The sequence below is a fragment of the Homo sapiens genome, chromosome 11, assembly GCF_000001405.40.
Source record: "Homo sapiens chromosome 11, GRCh38.p14 Primary Assembly".
In the NCBI taxonomy this organism is placed as follows: domain Eukaryota; kingdom Metazoa; phylum Chordata; class Mammalia; order Primates; family Hominidae; genus Homo; species Homo sapiens.
In genome coordinates this window covers 60,665,029-60,684,313 of record NC_000011.10, presented here as the reverse complement: position 1 = coordinate 60,684,313, position 19,285 = coordinate 60,665,029, and the positions used below count along the sequence as shown (strand labels likewise).

Sequence of the window (19,285 nt, the reverse complement as noted above, 5' to 3'; positions counted from 1 at the left end):
TCCTTCACTTTCTCAGTGTCTGTGGAGTTTTGTCCACGGCTCATCCTGCTACACCACAATTTCTTGATTACTGTAATTTTTTAGTAACTTTTGAAACTAGGAAGTGCGAGCCTTCCTGTTAGTCCAAACTGCACCATTTTGTAAATTCTCTGCTATTTTGCAGACCTTGGTCAAAGTGAAACATTTCACAGGAGTTCGGGCCGTGAGAAACATTCTGCCTAACCACATGACCACAAGGCAGACAAAGGCCCAACTAAAGAAACATCCCTATTATATCTTGCTGGGCAAAGGTCCAAGGAACACCATAATGACATTCTGCCAAACCAAGGGCCAGAACCACCTCATCATGGGAACATCTTATCAATATCCTGCTGGGTAGCAAGCCGTACTGCCTAGACCCCTCCCACCCATACCTATAAGTACCCCCAGGCTATAAGCAGCGGTGGGCTCTGGCATTACACTGGTTCCCCACTTCTGTAGGTTTTATGCTGGATGTAAAGCCTGCATTTGCTGCTGAGGTGCCCTTTTTATATGTGTGTGTGTGTGTGTGTGTGTGTGTGTGTGTGTGTGTGTGTGTCTTTCTTTAACCCTTACCTTCCCTTCAAAACCTAACACCTCCTACTTTGTTTTTCTTTTTTAATATTGGTTTGACTATTTTGGGTCTTTTCCATGTTCATATGAATGTTAGGATAAGCTTGTCAATTTCTGAAAAATGCCAGCTGTAATTTAACAGGGGTTGTGTTAAATTGGTTGGGGAGTATTACCATCATAATATTGTCTTCAAATATTGTCTTTTATCAATGAACATGGGATGTCTTTTCATTTGTTTGTATCTTCTTAAATTTCTTTCAATAATGTTTTAGAGTTTGTGGTAGACAAGTCTCGCACTTCTTTTTAAAAATTTATTCCTGAATGTGAAGTATATGTATATTTATTCCTTTTGATGTTACTGTAACTGTGTTTTTGTATACAAAAATACAGTTGGTTTCTGTATATTGGCCATGTATTCTGCCATTTTGTTAAACTTATTTATTAGTTCGACTAGATTTTTATGGATTTTTTTAGCATTTTATACGAGATCAGATAATGTCATTTGTAAAGAGTGTTAGTTTTAATTTTTCCTTGATTAAACTAAATTCTTTATTTTTTATTGCCTGATTTTCCTGGATAGAACCTACAATACAATGTTGAATGTAAGTGACAAGATATCTTGTTTCTTATCTTAAGAAGAAAATGATTCAGTGTCTCTTTATCAAGTATTATGTTAACTATAAATTTTTAATAAACGCCCATATTTAGGTTGAGAAAATTCCATTCTATTCCTAGTTTTTCAACTTTTTTAATCATAAAAGGGTGTTCAATTTTCTTAAATGCTTCTTCTATGTCTTTTGAGGTGATCATGTGGTTTCTGGCTTTTATTCTATTAGTAAGGTGGAATACATTGATTAGTTTTCATATATTGAACCAGCTCTGTACTCTTAGGATAAATCCTAACTGGTCATGATATATAATACTTTTTGTATGTTGCTAGATTCCATTTGTTAATAGTTTTTGAGGATTTATGCATCTATATTCATAATGGATATTAGTCTATAGTTTCCTTTTATTATAATGTCTTTGTTTTATTTTAGTACCAAACTAGTGTTAGCCTTATAGAATGAGTTAGGAAGTATTTATTCCTCCTCTTTTTTTTGGGAAAAAGTTTGTGAATAACTAGTATTAATGCTTTAAACCTTTGGTAGAGTTCACAATGTAGCTATCTGAGACTGGGCTATTCTTTATGGAAAGTTTTTGATTATTAATTTGATTCTTTAACTTGTGATAGGTGTACTTAGATTTCTATTTCTTCTTGAGTCAGTTTCAGTCATGTCTGTATTTCTAGAAATTTGTCCATTTTATGTAGGTTATCTAATTTGTTGCCATATGATTGTTCAATATTTTTACTTCTATAACATTGTCAGTAATGTTCTTTCTTTATAATTATAGTAAATTAAGTCTTCTTTCTTTTTTTCTTGGTCAGTGTGGTTAATGGTTTGTTATTTTGGGATTCTTTTTAAAGAAGGAACTTCTGGTTTTATTGTTTTTCTCTATTGTTTTCCTATCTTCTATTTCATTTAGTTCTACTCTAGTCTTTATTATTTTCACTTTAGGTTTAGTTTTCTTTTCCTGATTTTTTAAGGGGGAAAGTTGGGTTTTTGATTTCAGATACTTATTCAAAATATAGTCTTTACAGCTATACATTTTCCAATATTTCTTCACAAACTCACTGTGCCATTTTTTTATTTCTTTCTCTCTTCTTTCCTTATGTGTTCACCATTATGCACATTTTGGTATGCTTGCTGATGTTTCAAAGGTGTCTGAAGCTCTGTTCTTTTTTCTTCATTCTGTTTCATAGATTAGGTAATTCCAATTGACCTACTGTCAAGTTTGTGGATTATTTCTTCTGCCAGCTCAAATTTTCTGTTGAGACCCTTGAGTAAAATTTTCATTTTAGTTATTATAATTTTCTGCTCTACAATTTCTATTTGGTTCTTTTGGAAAAATAGTTCCTATTTTATGTCACTATTAATATTCTCTTTTTGGTGAGACATTGCGTTCATACTTTTAGTTTTTTTAGACATGGTTTTTAAAAGTTCTTTATACTTATTTATACTTGCTGAGTTAAAATACCTTTTTTTTCTAGTAACCTCAACATTTAGACTTCTTTGGGGAAAATTTTTATTGACTGTTTTTTTCTCCTGTATTTAAGCCATACTTCTCTGTTTCCTTGCATATTTTATATTTTTACTTGTTAAAAATTGAACATTTAAAATAATATAGTGTGGCAACATTGTAAATCATAGCCCTCTAGGGGTTGGTTTTATCATTGTCTTTGTTATTCTGCTTTGTTAACTTAGTGGTCAGCTAGTGATTGGACAAAGATTTCCTTAATTCTTTTGAACCAGTAAGTTTCCTAGACTTTGCTGAGAGATTGTGTGTGTGCGTGTTTGCATGTGTTTGTGTTGGGGTAAGGTTTTAAAGCTCTGGGAGAGTTTGCAACTCTGCCTTAGCTATCACTTCCTGCTTTTATCATAAAAGCAGGAGATGGGTTGTGAGGGATGGGAATAGGACAAGTTACAATACCACAAAGCTCACTGTTCTTACCATGATTCGGCCATTTAACTTGAATGGTTGAATTGGATTTTCTTCAGGTCAGCCAGAGGTGGGAGGTTAGGACATTTTTCAGGTCTTTTCTTGGCATGTACACATCCCAGCATATGCATGTGACCTTTTATGTTTCCAGATATTGTCATAATTTCAAAATACTCTATGGACATCTTACTGCTCAGATTTTTTTTTAAAATGTGACCTTTTGTTTGGCACAACTGTTATCTCTGCCTCAGGCAGCTGTGTTGTTAAATGCTATTGATTGTTCTGACAAATATCCCAGAAAGAAAAGCTGTTTACAGTGACTGAGTTCTGAATGAAATCAAATTAAAGAGTCTTGCCAGTGGGGATGTCTGGGGAGCTGCCAGACAAGTTAACAACAATTCTCTGAGAATGGGGCTTTTTTGGGGCACTTAAATCCTATTTTATCCTTTCCTGTTGTTGTTAGGCCGTTTTTTCCCACAGGTACTATGGTTGCAAGGCTGTTACTTTTAAAGGCTACTGAGGAGATAGGGTAAGACGGATGGGAATAGGGCACGCTGCAATACCATAGAGCTCACTGTTCTTACCATGATTTGGCCATTTAACTTGAATAAATGCTTATTGGATTTTCATAGGTCTTTGACTAATTTCCAAAGTTCTGAAAAAGTTGATTTTGACAAATTTTTCAGTATTCTCATTGCTTTTATTGAGAGATGGGTTTTTGGAGGTTCTTACTGTTCTATTCTAGAAGTACTCTTTTCAGTGTCCTCTAAAATGTTTATTTTCTGAAGGCATTTGATATTCCAAATGTTGGAAACCAACATTTCAGAACTAAATTTGAATTTTTGGGTTTATAGCAGTCAGTATCCCCATATCACAAGTATGATCTCTGAAACCCTTTTAGTCTATATATTTCCTCTGTTAATCTCCTGGGAGATGTAAGTCTAAAAGACTTCTACATAGTTTTGCCAGGGCAAGTTGTTTGACTTCAATTCCACACAATATCAAGCAGAAGATATTTCAGCATGTTTTCAGATACACTTGACCTTACTTCTGAAGCAACACTCCTGTTCACCAAGTCTAAACTTTGAACTCTCAGAGAGGGCCCTTATTATAAACTGCCTTTATCTTGATTTGACTGCCAGAAACAAAGTTACTCACTTTCTTCAGTGTGTTTTTCATGATGAAATGCTCTTACAACCCACTGGATGATTATGATTACAATGGTCATCTCTAAGATGGTGCAGAGTAGTAAATATTGTAAAAGCATCATACCAACCATCTGAATAAAAAAATCTTCATATTAATTAACCATTTAAAATTATATAAGATCAACATTTAGAAAATCAGGAGTAAATATTCATCCTAGCAGTCTCACACAATTATGATTATTTTTGGGTATTTTCATAACAACTAAGTATGTTTTAAATTTATTGAGTACTTACATATTGTCCTCATGTATTCATTTCCTAGGGCAATATAATAAAGTACCACAAACTGGGTGGCTTAACACAACAGAAGTTTATTGTTTTATGGGTCTGGATGCCAAAAGTTCAAAATAAATGTATTGGCAGGATCATGCTCTTTCTAAGGCATATAGGAGAGAATCCTCCCTTGTCTCATCCAGGTTCTGGTAGCCCCAGGTGTTTTTGACTTGTAATAGTATAACTCCTATCTCTGCCTCTATGTTCAGATGGTGATATGGTTCATCTCTGTGTCCCCACTTAAATCTCATTTCAAACTGTAATCCCCATGTGTTGAGGGGGGATCTGGTGGGAGGTGATTAGATCATGGGGGCAGTTTCACCCATGCTGTTCTCATGATAGTGAGTGAGTTCTCATGAGACTTGATGGTTGAAAAGTCTGTGGAAGTTCCCCCTTTACTCTCTCTCTCCTGCTTCCTTTTGAAGAAGGTACTTGTTTCTCCTTTGCCTTCCGCCATGATTGTACATTTCCTGAGGCTTCCCCAGCCATGTGAAACTGTGAGCCAATTAACCCTCTTTACTTTATAAATTACCCAGTCTCAGGCAGCTCTTTATAGCAGTGTGAAAATGGACTAACACAGGAAATTGGTACCAGGAGTGGGGTACTGGTATAAAGATAGCCTGAAAATGTGGAAGCAACTTTGGAACTGGGAAATAGGCAGAAGTTGGAAGAGTTTGAAGGGCTTAAAAGAAGACAGGAAGATGTGGGAAAGTTAGGAACTTCCTAGAGACTCGTTGAATGCTTTTGACTGAAATGCTGATAGTGATATGGACAATGAAGTCCAGGCTGAGGTGGTTTCAGATGGAGATGAGGAACTTTTTGGGAACTGGAGCAAAGGTCAGTCTTGCTATGCTTTAGCAGAGAGACTGGTGGCATTTTGCCCTGCCCTAGAGATTTGTGGAACTTTGAACTTGAGAGAGATGATTTAGGGTATCTGGTGGAAGAAATTTCTAAGCAGCAAAGTGTTTAAGAGGTGACCTGTTTTTTTCTAGAGGTGTGTTCACATATGTGTGAGCAAAGAGATTATCTGAAACTGGAAGTTGTGTTTAAAAGGGAAGCAAAGCATAGAAATTTGGAAAATTTGCAGCCTGATACATGGTATAAAAGAAAAACTCATTTTCTGGGGATAAATTCAAGCCAGCTGCAGAAATTTGCATAAGTAACAAGGAACCAAATATTAATAGCCAAGACAATGGGGAAAATGTCTCCAGGGCATGTCAAACATCTTCACTGTAGCCCCTCCCATCACAGGCCTGGAGGCCTAGGAGGAAAAAATGGTTTTGTGGCCCAGGTCCAGGGCCCCTGCTGCTGCTCTGTGCAGTCTCGGGACTTGGGGCCCTGCTTCCCAGCCACACCAGCTCCAGCTGTGGCTAAAAGGGGCCAAGGTACAGCTTGGGCTGTTGCTTCAGAGGGAGCAAGCCCCAAGCCTTGGTGGCTTTCACATGGTGTTGGGCCTGTGGGTGCACCGAGGTCAGGAGTTGAGGCTTGGTGGGCTCCACCTAGATTTCAGAGGATGTATGAAAATGCCTGGATGTCCAGGAAGAAGGCTGTGACAGGGTTGGAGCCCTCATGGAGAACTTCTACTAGGGCACTGCAGAGGGGAAATGTGGGGTTGAGGCCCCCACAGAGTCCCCACTGGGGCACTGCCCACTAGACCCGTGAGAAGAGGGCCACCATTCTCCAGACCCAAGAATGGTAAATCCACTGACAGCCTCTACAACGCACCTGGAAAAGCTGCAGGCACTCAGCATCAGCCTATGAAAACAGCTGCAGAGGCTTTACCCTGCAGAGCCACAGGGGTGGAGCTGCCCAAGGCCTTGGGAGCCCACCTCTTGCATCTGTGTACCCCAGATGTGAGACATGGAGCCAAAGGAGATCATTTTGAAGCTTTAGAATTTAATAACAGCCCTACTGGGTTTCAGACTTGCATGGGACCTGTGGCCCCTTTGTTTTGGCCAATTTGTCCCATTTGGAATGGGAACATTTACCTAATGCTTGTACCCCCATTGTACCTTGGAAGTAACTAACTTGTTTTTGATTTTACAGGCTCAGTGGAAGGAAATTTCCTTGTCTCAGGTGAGACTTTGAACTTAGACTTTTGAATTAATGCTGGAATGAGTTAAGACTTTGGAGGACTGCTGGGAGGGCATGATTGTGTTTTGAAATGTGAGCAGGAGATGAAGTTTGGGAGGGGCCAGGGATGGAATAATATGGTTTGGCTCTGTGTCCCCACCCAAATCTCATCTCGAATTGTAATCCCCACGTGTTGAGGGAGGGACCTGGTGGGAGGTAATTGGATCATGGGAGTGGCTCCCCCATGCTGTTTCATGGTAGTGAGTGAGTTCTCATGAGATATGGTGGTTTAAAAGTCTGTAGCTGTTCCCCTTTTGCTCTCTCTCCTGCCTCCTTGTGAAGAAGGTACTTGCTTCTCCTTTGCCTTCTGTCATGACTATAAGTTTTGTGAGACCTCCCGAGCCATGCAAAACTGTGAGTCAATTAAACCTCTTTCCTTTATAAATTACTCTGTCTCAGTCAGTTCTTTATAGCAGTGTAAAAATGAACTAATACACAGTGCCATCTTCCTTATGTACCTATGTCCAAATTTCTCTCTTATAAGAATACCAATCATACTGGATTAATGACCTACCTACCCCTGTATGACCTCATCTTAATTTAGCTTATTATACCTGGAATAATCCCATTCCCCCAAAATGTCACATTCTGAGGTGCCATGGGTTAGGACTGCAACATATATGTTTCGGTATCACAATTCAACCCATAACAGTCTGCCTCTAGTTCCCCTCAATTCATGTCCTTCCCATGTGCAAAATATATTCAGCTAATTTCAACATCTCCGAAAGTTGTAACCCACTCTAGAATCAACTCTATGTCCAAACTTTTCCTAAATATTATAAAATCAAAAATCCTCAAATCTCATCATCTAAATCAGTTATAGCATCTAGATTCATGCTAGAAATCATCACTTATAGCATGATTCATCTTGGGGCAAAAATTCCTCACTATCTGTGGACTTGTGAAGCCAGAAAACTAGTAATCTACTTCTAAAATACAATGGTGGGACTGGCAGAGGATAGTCATTTCGATTTCCAATAGAGAAAATAAGAAAGAAAGAAGTGGGCAGCAGACCTAAGCAAGTCCAAAACCCAATAGAGAAAATTTTGTTAGATTTTTGAGGCCTGAGGATAATCCTCTGTGGTTCTGTCTTCTGAGTCAGCTAGGGGACAGCCCTATTCTTTGTCACCCTGGGGTGGGGACCCCACTCCCTCAGCCCACTGGGGCAGTATTTTAACTCTTTAGGCTATTGTTGTCTCAGCCTGTATTGTATAAAAAGTGCAAATATTTGTGACATAAAATGTCTTTCTATCTTTCCTCCTTCTTGGTTTTCTCTGTTGCTTATGTAAATAATATATTAGTTCTATATTTTATGCTAATTTTAATGGTTTTTATGTACACATACTTCATCTGTGATTTATTTTTATTTGTGGTACAAAGTAGGTGTCCATTATTATTTTCTTGGAAATCAATAGCTTATTGATTTAATACTGTTTTTTTCCAATTTCATCTTTTCTCTATTGACTGGTCATGTTATCACCTACAAAATAATATGTGTTCACTTATACTTAGATTTATTTTTCAACTCTCTATTCTGTGCTTAGTTAAATTTTCCTTTTAGTGTGTAAATACTGTACTATTTTTATTATAATAGCCTAATAACAAGTTTTAATATCTAGTGCAGCAAATTATCTGATCCTCCTCAATCACTATGTAACTTCTAGACTTTCTTGGCATTTTTATGCAATTATTCATCTATCTATATGCATTTTAGAGTAATTTTATTGCATGACTTCCGAAATGCTGTTGAGATTCTAAATGGAATTGCATCACAATTATGTGTTAATTTGCAGAAACTTGCAATTTTATGATTTTGTAAATTCGCATTCAAGAACATAATTTTTCAAAGTATTCAGTCCTTTTAAAATGCTTCTTATTAAACATTTATAGTTTTGCTGTTATTTTGATTTTTTTAAAAATTTCAATATTTAAGTGGTTATTTCTAGTGTAAAGACAATCTATTAATTTTTGCAGGTTTTTCTTTTGTCCAGCCACCTCTCTAAACTGTTTGACTTCTGCAGTTGTTTTTCAGGTAGGTCTTTGGGGTTTCTAAGTATTCTATCATTTTATCTTAACGATAATTTTAATCTCTCTTTGAGGTTTATAGTGCATCACGATTTTTGAGAAAAACTTATTTTTCAATGTGCTTATAGCAAGAATATAGAGAAAATACAGTTTATCTTTACATTTCTATGCCAAAGATAATTGACACATTTGGTGGCCTTTTCTATGCCTTACTCACTTCAACATACATCATTCACCATAATTTTTCATTTATATTAAAATTTTGATCTAATTATTATTAAAATTGGTACTTACGTTTGACCAATTGTATGTGGTTGCATTTAATGCAAAAGTTGCAATCTCCATGCTTAATAGAATTATACCAAGTGTAGTCACACAAATAGTTATGCTGTTCATTACAATTGCTAAAGTAAGGTGTAATAGACATACAAAGAAAAATTGGTTATGGACAGCATAAACAGATGTTGCTGAAGCAATCAGTCTGTCCTACTGGCTAGAACATTCAAGTTAAAGTTTTAAAAATCTGACTTTCTTTGATTGTCACAGAGGTTGATATCAGGAGTCCACCTCAAATTTGTCTAGAAGCTAGTAGGATAATTTTTTTTTCAGAGGGAATATTTATTTATTCATTAATTATACAATGCCTACAATGTACTAAACCTCAGGTTTCTACTCAAGGAGCTTTTAATCTAATGGGGGAGATATAATTACAAGCACAATTTCATTTAATAAAATTTAATACATTTAATACATTTAATACATGTCATGTATTAATACATATATGTATTAGTCATGTATAAATAATACATTTAATACATGGCATACTAAAGGAGGAATAATCTAGTATATTGTGATTAGGATTTTCAATTTTAGCTTTGTGAATATGTAGAACTATGCTGCTGGAGTTGTCAACTAAAAAGATTCATCCTTAGTACAAAGTCAGATTGTGGTATGCTTAGAATGCCTCTGCACACTTATCCTATGTCCATTAATGAGGATAGAGAGGCTTATGAACCAGGATCACTTAAGAAGGTATCTATGTTCCTAAAAATTCTAATAAATTATTTATAGAATTAAGTGTACAGCATTATTATTTTTGGAGAGTCCCACTTCCAGCATAAGAATGGGAGGAACTCAACCAGCTCCCCAGCCAAATTTGTAAAAATTATTTCAAAAATCTTAATCCTTTAAAACCTCTGTACTCTGTAAACCTTTTTAATGGAATATAGCAAATAAAGGAACATTTATTCAAGAAAATCTACTCAGTAAATGCTGTAAGAGTTTCTGGTATGGTATCTGAACCAAGATCTGCACCCTCCCTCCCTCCTCTCAGATCAGCAAGACCACTCTAGATTGGAATAGCCAAAAACACAGGGCTCCCTTTTCTCAAAGATCCCAGTCAGAGTGCTATACTATCTTCTCAGGAAGGGTAGGCCATCTAATTAGCCTTTCTGGTCCTGCCCAAATACTAACACTGAGGCTAAGTACCAAGTGAATGCAGCCAAGAGATGGGTGATCTCTTCTACCCAGCTTTTACTCATGGGATGAAGACTCTATAATACTGGGCTCTAATTGACCTTTTTCTGGCTTTGGGGTAAGGGTTTCACATCATGAGAGGCAAGTTGAGAGGAACTGGGGCTTCTGTCCCCTCCCCCATTCACCAAACCCTCAACTCTTAAAGAGAAAGACTCCGTTGTCCCTACCCACTTCCTCACCCCTGCACCAGATCCTTAGCTCAGAGATGTTGGGAGAGAAATAGGCTATGGAATAGAAATCTCCACTCTGTTCCCAAAGGAGGTGACTTCATTTGTAGCATGTGGAGAAGTTTAGGCTTACAAGTACTCTCAAAAACAGTGGAAGTTGTGGTAAAAGGCACTTGGTAGGTGTTCACAGATACATTTTAGATACAGGCTAAACTGTAGGCCCACGAGTTTCCCAGAGAGAAATGGGAAAAGGGGAAGCTAGGAAGAGCCCTTTTGGAGTCAGAACAAATCTCAAACACTGATTTTGGGAGCTATCCCCTCAAAGGAGCTCAAATTTGTTTGGGTTAGTCTGTGAAGCAGTTTTTGCCTCAGAACAACCAGCAAGCACTAGCAGAGCTTAACAGCTGGGTATGGTTAGGGAAAGAGACAAAGAGCCTTTCCAAGATAAATGTCATCCCAGGGTGACTGTGGGCATCACAAGCCTGTACCCTATAAGGGGCAACATCAAAGCTTAACAGTGAGGACGGAGAAATAGACTTCACTGAAACAACCTAGACAGTTTTTTTCTAATCAAGTAAATAACAATAAGTCCTGGTGTGGGGGATGAGTACCCAGAGTTGCTATAATATATTATCGAAAATGCCCAGTTTCCAGCAAAACAATTATATAATAGGCAACAATATAAAACAGACAATGAAACAGGCAAGTTTGACCCATAGATGATATAAACTGTAGGCAACAAAAACTGTGAGAGACCAGATATAATATTTAATAAACAAATGTTTCAAAATAGTCATTATAAAGATGTTTGAGCACTTAAGTAAGCCACGATTAAGGAAGTAAAGGAAGGTGTGATAACAATATTGCATCAAATAGAGAATATCAGTAAAGATATATAAATCATTTTTAAAACACCAAATGGAAATTCTGGAGTTGAAAATTATAACAGCTAAAATAAAAAATTCGTTAGAGTGGCACAACAGTAGATTTGAAGTGGCAGAAGAAAGAATTAGTGAATTTCAAGATAGATTGATAGAGATTATGCAATCTGAAAGACAGAGAGAAAAGTGAATGAAGAAATATGAATAGAGACTTAGAGAAATGTGAAATACCATTAAGGAAACAACATATACATAATGAAAGTACCAGAAAGGGGGAGAAAGAGAAAGAAGCAGAAAATATATTCAAAGAAATAATGCCTGAAAATTTTCCATATTTATTCAAAGCCATTAATCTATACCGCCTAGGAATCTCAACAAATCCCAAGGAAGAAACTCACAAAGAAATCCACAAGTAGACATATCACAGTAAAAACGCTGAAAGCCAACAAAGAGAAAATCTCGAAAGCAGCAAGAGAAAAATGACTTGAGACATACAAGGGAACTCCAATAAGATTAACAGCTGACTTCTAATCAGAAACATTGAAACCCAGAAGGTAGTGGGATAACAAATTCAAAGGGTTCAAAGAAAAAAAAGACCTATCAACCAAGAATCCTACTTCTAGCAAAGCTGTCTTTCAAAAATGAAAACAAAATAAAGACATTTGCAGATGAACAAAATCTGAAAGAATTTGTTGCTAGCATGCCTTACAAAAAATACTAAAGAAAATTCTTCAGACCAAAAGCAAGTGACTACAGACAGTAATTTGAATCTCATGAAAATATAAAGATCACTGACAAAAGAAAATTATACAAATATAAAAGAAAGTGTAAATGCAAATTTATCCTCTTTCTTCTACTAACTTATTTAAAAAGCAATCATATGAAACAATATGTATGTAACGTATTGTTGGGTCTATAACATAGGGAAATGCAATATATTTGCCAATAACAGCAAAAGTGGGGGGAGAGGAGCAAATGTATTTTAAGCTAAGGAATCAACATCTAGGAGTTTAACTCTAGATGTTAAATTTGAACCCACAGGAACAAATGAGGAGAACAAGAAATTATAAATAAAAAATTTCTGGTAAATAATAAATTGTAATGGTAAATAGATAAATGGTAAATAACAAAAACTGTAAATGTATACTTGTTCCTTTTCTTCTCTTTGCTTCTTTAAAAGAGATAGAATTATATAAAGTAATAATCATAATGTTATCTTATGTTTGTAACATTCATAGATGTAATACATCAATAATATCACATAAAGAGGTATTGAAATAGAGCTATACAGGGATAATGTTTCTATATTTCACTGGAATTAAATTAGTATAAATGTGAAGCAGATTTTGATAAGTTAAAATATGATGAGCCTTAGAGCGACAATTAATGAAATAACTGAAATATACAGTAAAAAATTATTAAAAATTAAAATACTACATTAGAAAATATCCACTTAGCCAAAAAATAAAGCAGTCAAGGCAGAATAGAGAAACAAAAAACATAAAACATGGAGAAAAAGTAAAATGTCAAATGCAAGCCTAACTATTTCAATATAAGATTAAATGTGAATTAATAAAACAATTCAATTAAAGGCAGAGATTGTCAGATTGGATACAAAAACCAGATCCAACTATGTGCTGTCTATGGGAGACACACTTTAGATTCAAAGACACAAAAAGAATGAAAACAAAAAAATAGAAAAATATTTGTAATCCAAAGAACAAACACAAGAAAGCTAGAATGGCTATACTAATACCAGACAAAATATATTTTAAAAATGTTGGCCGGGCATGGTGGCTCATGCCTGTAATCCCAGCACTTTGGGAGGCCGAGGCGGGCAGATCACGAGGTCAGGAGATGGAGACCATCCTGGCTAACATGGTGAAACCCCATCTCTACTAAAAATACAAAAAATTAGCTGGGCGTGGTGGTGGGCGCCTGTGGTCCCAGCTACTCGGGAGGCTGTGGCAGGAGAATGGTGTGAACCCAGGAGGCGGAACTGGCAGTGAGCAGAGATGGGGCCACTGCACTCCAACCTGGGCAACAGAGTGAGACTCCGTCTCAAAAAAAAAAAAATGCTACTAGAGATAGAGAGGAACATTTTATAATGGTTATAAACATATATTTTCTAAGAACAGAGGCTTGAAACACGCAAAGCAGAACCAGACAGAAACAAAGAAAGAAACAGACAATTTAACAATAATAGTTAGGGACTTCAATGACCCACTTTTAATGATGAGTAGAGCAACAAGGCAGAAGATAAACAAGGAAATAGAAGATTTGAACAACATTATAAACCAACTAAACCTAACAGACATCTATAGAACATTTCACCCAACAACAGAAGAATACACGGTTTTCTGAACTGCACATGGGACATTCTTTGGAATAGACCAGAGTTTAGGGCATAACACATTTTAATAAATTTAAAAGGCTAGAAATAGTAAAGTATTTTCTCTAAGTACAATGGAACAAAATTAAAATTAATAACACAAATTTGGGAAACCCCAAATATGTGGAAATTAACAACATACTCCTAAATAACCAAGGGATTAAAGAAGAAATAAAAAGAAAATTAGAAAATACTTTGCGATGAATGAAAATGAAGATACAGCATATCAATGCTTATAGGATGCAGCTAAATTAGTGCTTAGATAGAAATTTATAGCTGTAAATGCCTATACTAACAAAGAAGAAAGACCCCAAATCAATAACCTAACTTTCCATCTTAAGATAATGAAAATAAAAAAAACCCATATCAAACCTGAAGAAAGCAGAAGGAAATAAAGTAGTAAAGATTAAAGTGAAAATTATTTAGAAGCAAAATAGAAAAACAGTAGATAAAATCAATGAACACAAAAGTTGATTCTTTGAAAGATGAACAAAATGGAAAAGCCTTTAATGAGACTAAAGAAAAATAGAGAAGTCTCAAATTAGTACAATCAGAAATGAATGTGGAAACATTACTACAAACCTTATAGAAATAAATGTGATTATGAAAGAATACTATGAACAATTATATGCCAACAAATTAGATAACCTGCTGAAATGGACAAGTTCCTAGAAACATGCAAACTACTAAAACTAAGGAAGAAATAGAAAATCTGAATAGACTATAAAGAATTAAGGTATTTAAATTTATAATCAGATCTTCTATGAAGAAAAGTGCAGACCCAGATTACTTCAGTGGTGACTTCTACCAAATATTTAAAGAATTACCTTCTTCACAAACTCTTCTAAGAATAGAAGAGGAGGGAACACTTCCTAACTCGTTCTGTGAGGCCACTATTACCCTGAGATCAAAATCAGACTAATGCATCACAACAAAAGAAAACTAAAAACCATGATCTCTTATGAACATGGACACAAAAATCTTCAACAAAATGTTAGCAAACTCAATACAGCAACACAGAAAAAGAAATATGCAGGCATACTTTGGAGATATTGCAGGTTCAGATTCAGGCCACTGCAATAAAATGAATACTTTAATAACGTAACAGATGAATTTTTTAGTTTCCCAATGCATATAAAAGTTATGCTGGCTGGGCGCAGTGGCTCACACCTGTAATCCCAGCACTTTGGGAGGCCGAGGCAGGTGGATCACAAGGTCAGGAGATCAAGACCATCCTGGCTAACATGGCGAAACCCCATCTCTACTAAAAATACAAAAAAATTAGCCGGGCGTGGTGGCAGGTGCCTGTAATCCCAGCTACTTGGGAGGCTGAGGCAGGAGAATGGCATGAACCCAGGAGGCGGAGCTTGCAGTGAGCCGAGATTGTGCCACTGCACTCCAGCCTGGGGGACAGAGAGAGACTCCGCCTTAAAAAAAAAAAAGTTATGCTACTGTTTACAGTTTATTGTCGTCTATTAAGTGTGCAAGTGTGCAATAGCTTTATGTCTAAAAATGTACTTAATTTAAGAATATTTTATTGCTAAAAAAAGCTAATGATCACCTAAGCCTCAGTGAGCTGTAATGTTTTTGCTGGTGGAGGGTCTTGCCTTGATGTTGTTGGCTGCTGACTGATTAGGGTGGTGTTTACTGAAGGTTGGGGTCCCTGTGGCAATTTCTTAAGATTAGATAACATGAAGTTTGCTGCACCCATCAACTCTTCTTTTCCCAAAAGTTTCCTCTGTTGTATGCAATGTTTTTTGATAGCATTTTATCCACCATACAACTTCTTCCAAAATTGGAGTCAATCCTCTCCAACCTTGACAGTGCTTTATCAACTAAGCTTATGTAATATTCTGAATTCTTCATTGTCATTTCAGCAATGTTCATAGCATCTTCACTGGAGTAGAATCCACCTGAAGAAAGCACTTTCTTTACTCATCCATAAGAAGCAACTCCTTATCCATTAAAGTTTTATCAGGAGATTACAGCAATTCAGTCACATCTTCAGGCTTCCCTTCTTGCTATTTCCATCCCATCTGCAGTGATTTCCTCCGCCGAGGTCTTGAACCCCTCAAAGTTATTCATGAGAGGTAGTATCAACTTTTTCCAAAGTCCTGCTAATGTTGCTATCTTGACCTCCTCCTGTATGTCATTAATGCTCTTAATGTCATCTAGAATGGTGAATCTTCCAGAAGCTCTTCAATTTACTTTGCCGAGATCTATCAGAGGAATCACTAGCTATGACAGCTGTAGTCTTACAAAATGTATTTCTTAAATAACAAGACTTGAAAGTACAAATTACTCCTTGATTCATCACTGCAAATTGGATGTTATGTTAACAGACATGAAAACACATGTGACCAGGTGCACTGTCAATGAGCAGTAATATTTTAAAAGGAAGCTTTTTTTCCTGAGTAGTAGTTCTTAATATTGAATTTAAAATATTCTGTAAATCATGCTGTAAACAGATGTGCTGTTATCCATGCTTTCTTATGCCATTTACAGACCATAAGCAGAGTAGATTAATTCTTAAGGGCCCTAGAATTTTCAGTATAGTAAATGAGCATTAGCTTCAACTTACAGTCATCAGCTGCATTAGCCTCTAACAAGAGAGTCAGCCTGTCCTTTGAAGCTCTGAGCCCAAGCATTGTCTCTAGCTGGGAAAGTCCTATAAGACGTCTTCTTCCAATATAAGGCTGTTTTATCTACATTGAAAATCTGTTGTTTAATACAGCCACCTTCATCAATTATTTTAGCTAGATCTTCTGGATAACTTGCTGCAGCTCCTACATTATCACTTGCTGTTTCACCTTGTATTTTTATGTTATGGAGACAACTTCTTTCCTTAAACCTCATGAATCAACCTTGCTAGCTTCAAACTCTTCTTCTGAAGCTTCTTCATCTCTCTCGGTCTTCACAGAATTGAAAAGAGCCAATTAGGGCCTTGCTAGGGATTAGGCTTTGGCTTAAGGAAATGCTGTAGTTGGTTTGATCTGTCCAGACAACTAAAACTTTCTCCACATCAGCAACAAGCTTGTTTTGTTTTCTTATCACTTGTGTGTTAACTCAAGCAGCACTTTTAATTTCCTTCAAGAATTTTTCCTTTACATTCACACCTATGTTAATGGTTGGGTGCAAGAGGATTAACTTTGGCCTATCTCACCTTTCTATATGCCTTCCTCATAAGCTTAATCATTTATAACTTTTGACTTAAGAGAGAGATGTGTGGCTCTTCTTTTCACTTAAAATTTAGAGGCCATTGTATGGTTATTAATTGGCCTAATTTCAATGTTGTTGTATCTCAGAAAATAGAGAAGCCCAAGGAGATGGAGAGAGACAGGGGTAAGGATGGTTGGTAGAGCAGTCAGAACACACATATTTATCAATTAAATTTGTTATCTTATATAGACACAGTTTATGGTATGCCAAAACAATAACAATGTTAATATCAAAGGTCACCGATCACAGATCACTATGACAAATATAATAATCATAAAGGTCACTGATCACAGATCACTATGACAAATATAATTAATTGGCCTAATTTCAATGTTGTTGTATATTAGAAAATAGAGAAGCCCAAGGAGATGGAGAGAGACAAGGGTAAGTGTGGTTGGTAGAGCAGTCAGAACGCACATATTTATCAATTAAATTTGTTGTCTTATATAGACACAGTTTATGGTATGCCAAAACAATAACAATGTTAATATCGAAGGTCACCAATCACAGATCACTATGACAAATATAATAATCATAAAGGTCACTGATCACAGATCACTATGACAAATATAATAATCATAAAAAAGTTTGAAATATTGTGAGAATTACTAAAAGGTGACACGGAGACATGAAGTGAGCACGTGATGTTGAAGAAACAGCTTTGCTTGATGCAGTGTTATTATAAACCTTCACTTTGTAAAAAACCTCATTATCTGTGAGGTGCAATATAGCAAAGCACAATAAAACGAGGTATGCTTGTACACTGTAAGCAAGTGTGATTTATTCCACAAATGCAAGGCTGGTTTTATCTTATACAATTAATGTCATATGCCATATCAGTAAAATAGAAAAACACACATATGATCATCTCAATTGATGTAGACAAAGCATTTGGTGAAAATTCTTCACTGTTTTATGATAAAAACACTCAAAATACTCAAAATAGATGGGATCTTTCTCAACCTGATAAGGAGCATCTAATAAAAATCCACACCTAACACACCTATTGGTGAAAGACTCAATGCTTTCATGAGGAATAAGACGGTGAGATATACTCTCATTATATCTATTCAACCTTGTATTAGAAATTCTAACCAGGGCAGTTCGGCAGTAAAGAAAACCCAAAAGGCATTCAGAGGGTCCAGTTTTATTATTCTGTGTATGGATGGCCAATGATCCCAGCACCATTATTGAATAGGGACTCCTTACCCCATTGCTTATTTTTGTTGACTTTGTTGAATACCAGTTGGTTGTGGGTGTGCAGATTTATTTCTGAATAAACTATAGAAATAAAACAATATCTATTCACGTTCTTTAAAAAAAATTCAACTTTCATTTTAGATTCAGGGGGCATATGTACAGTTTTGTTATTTGGGTGTATTTTATAATGCTGAGGTTTGGGGTATGATTGATCCCATCACCCAGTTAGTACCCAAGAGGTAGTTTTTAAAACTTTCTTCCCTCCTGCCTTCCCCCAGTAGCATTCATCAATGTCTATTTTCTTATCTTTATGTGCATATGTACCCAACGTTTTGCTCCCACTTATTATAACCCCACTGGCATTTGGTTTTCTGTTTCTGCATTAATTCACCTAGGACAATGGCCTCCAGCTGCATCCATATTGCTGCAAAGGACATGATTTCACTCTTTTTTATGGCTGTGTAGTATTCCATGGTATGCATATATATATATATATATATATATATATATATATATATATATATATATGTATATATATATATATATCACATTTTCTTTACCCAATTCACCATTGATGGGCACCTGGATTTATCCCATGTCTTTGCTATTGTGAATAGTGCTGTGATGAACATGTAAATGCATGTCTTTTTGGTAAAATGATTTATTTTCCTTTGGGTGTATATGCAGTAATGGGATTGCTGGGTCAAGTGGTAGTTTTATTTTTAGTTCTTTAGAAATTTCCAGATGCTTTCCATAGGGACTGAGCTAATTTACTTTTCCACCAGCAGTGTATAAGTGTTCCTTTTGTCCGCATTCTCACCAATATCTATTTTTTGACTTTTTAGTAATAGCCATTCTGACTGGTATGAGATGTTATCTCATTTGGTTTTGGTTTACATTTTCCTGACAATTAGTGATATTAAGCATTTTTCATGTTTGTTGGCTGCTTGTATGTCTTCTTTTTAAGAAGTGACTGTTCATGTCATTTGCCCACTTTTTAATTTGGTTATTTGTTTTTTGCTTGTTGAATTGTTTAAGTTACTTATAGATTCTGAGTATTTGTCCTTTGTAGGACGTATAGTTTGCAAATATTTTCTCCCATTCTGCAGGTTGTCTGTT

General features: G+C 36.0%; 2 long non-coding RNA genes across 5 annotated transcripts in view, besides 1 other annotated feature; one reads left to right on the top strand and one right to left on the bottom strand.

Annotated features, from left to right (window-relative positions):
• Positions 1 to 19,285, top strand: part of LOC105369321 (uncharacterized) — a 95,635-nt gene that overhangs the window by 19,616 nt on the left and 56,734 nt on the right. For 3 of the 4 annotated variants that reach the window (XR_001748240.2, XR_950146.2, XR_950147.3), the window contains 2 exons: positions 6,660 to 6,689; positions 8,721 to 8,778. This is a non-coding gene — a long non-coding RNA (uncharacterized LOC105369321). Of the gene's footprint in view, positions 1 to 443; positions 519 to 6,659; positions 6,690 to 8,720; positions 8,779 to 19,285 lie in introns of those variants that run through there. The other variant, XR_950148.2, reaches the window with a different exon arrangement.
• The window catches only part of LINC00301 (long intergenic non-protein coding RNA 301), a 71,399-nt gene that overhangs the window by 2,836 nt on the left and 49,278 nt on the right, over positions 1 to 19,285 (bottom strand). The window lies entirely within an intron of this gene.
• Positions 267 to 316: an enhancer, noted in NCBI's record as "active region_4775". NCBI's record gives its function as "activates an Ori minimal core promoter by ATAC-STARR-seq in GM12878 lymphoblastoid cells {active_cell/tissue: GM12878}" and the evidence as "EXISTENCE:reporter gene assay evidence [ECO:0000049][PMID:35858748]".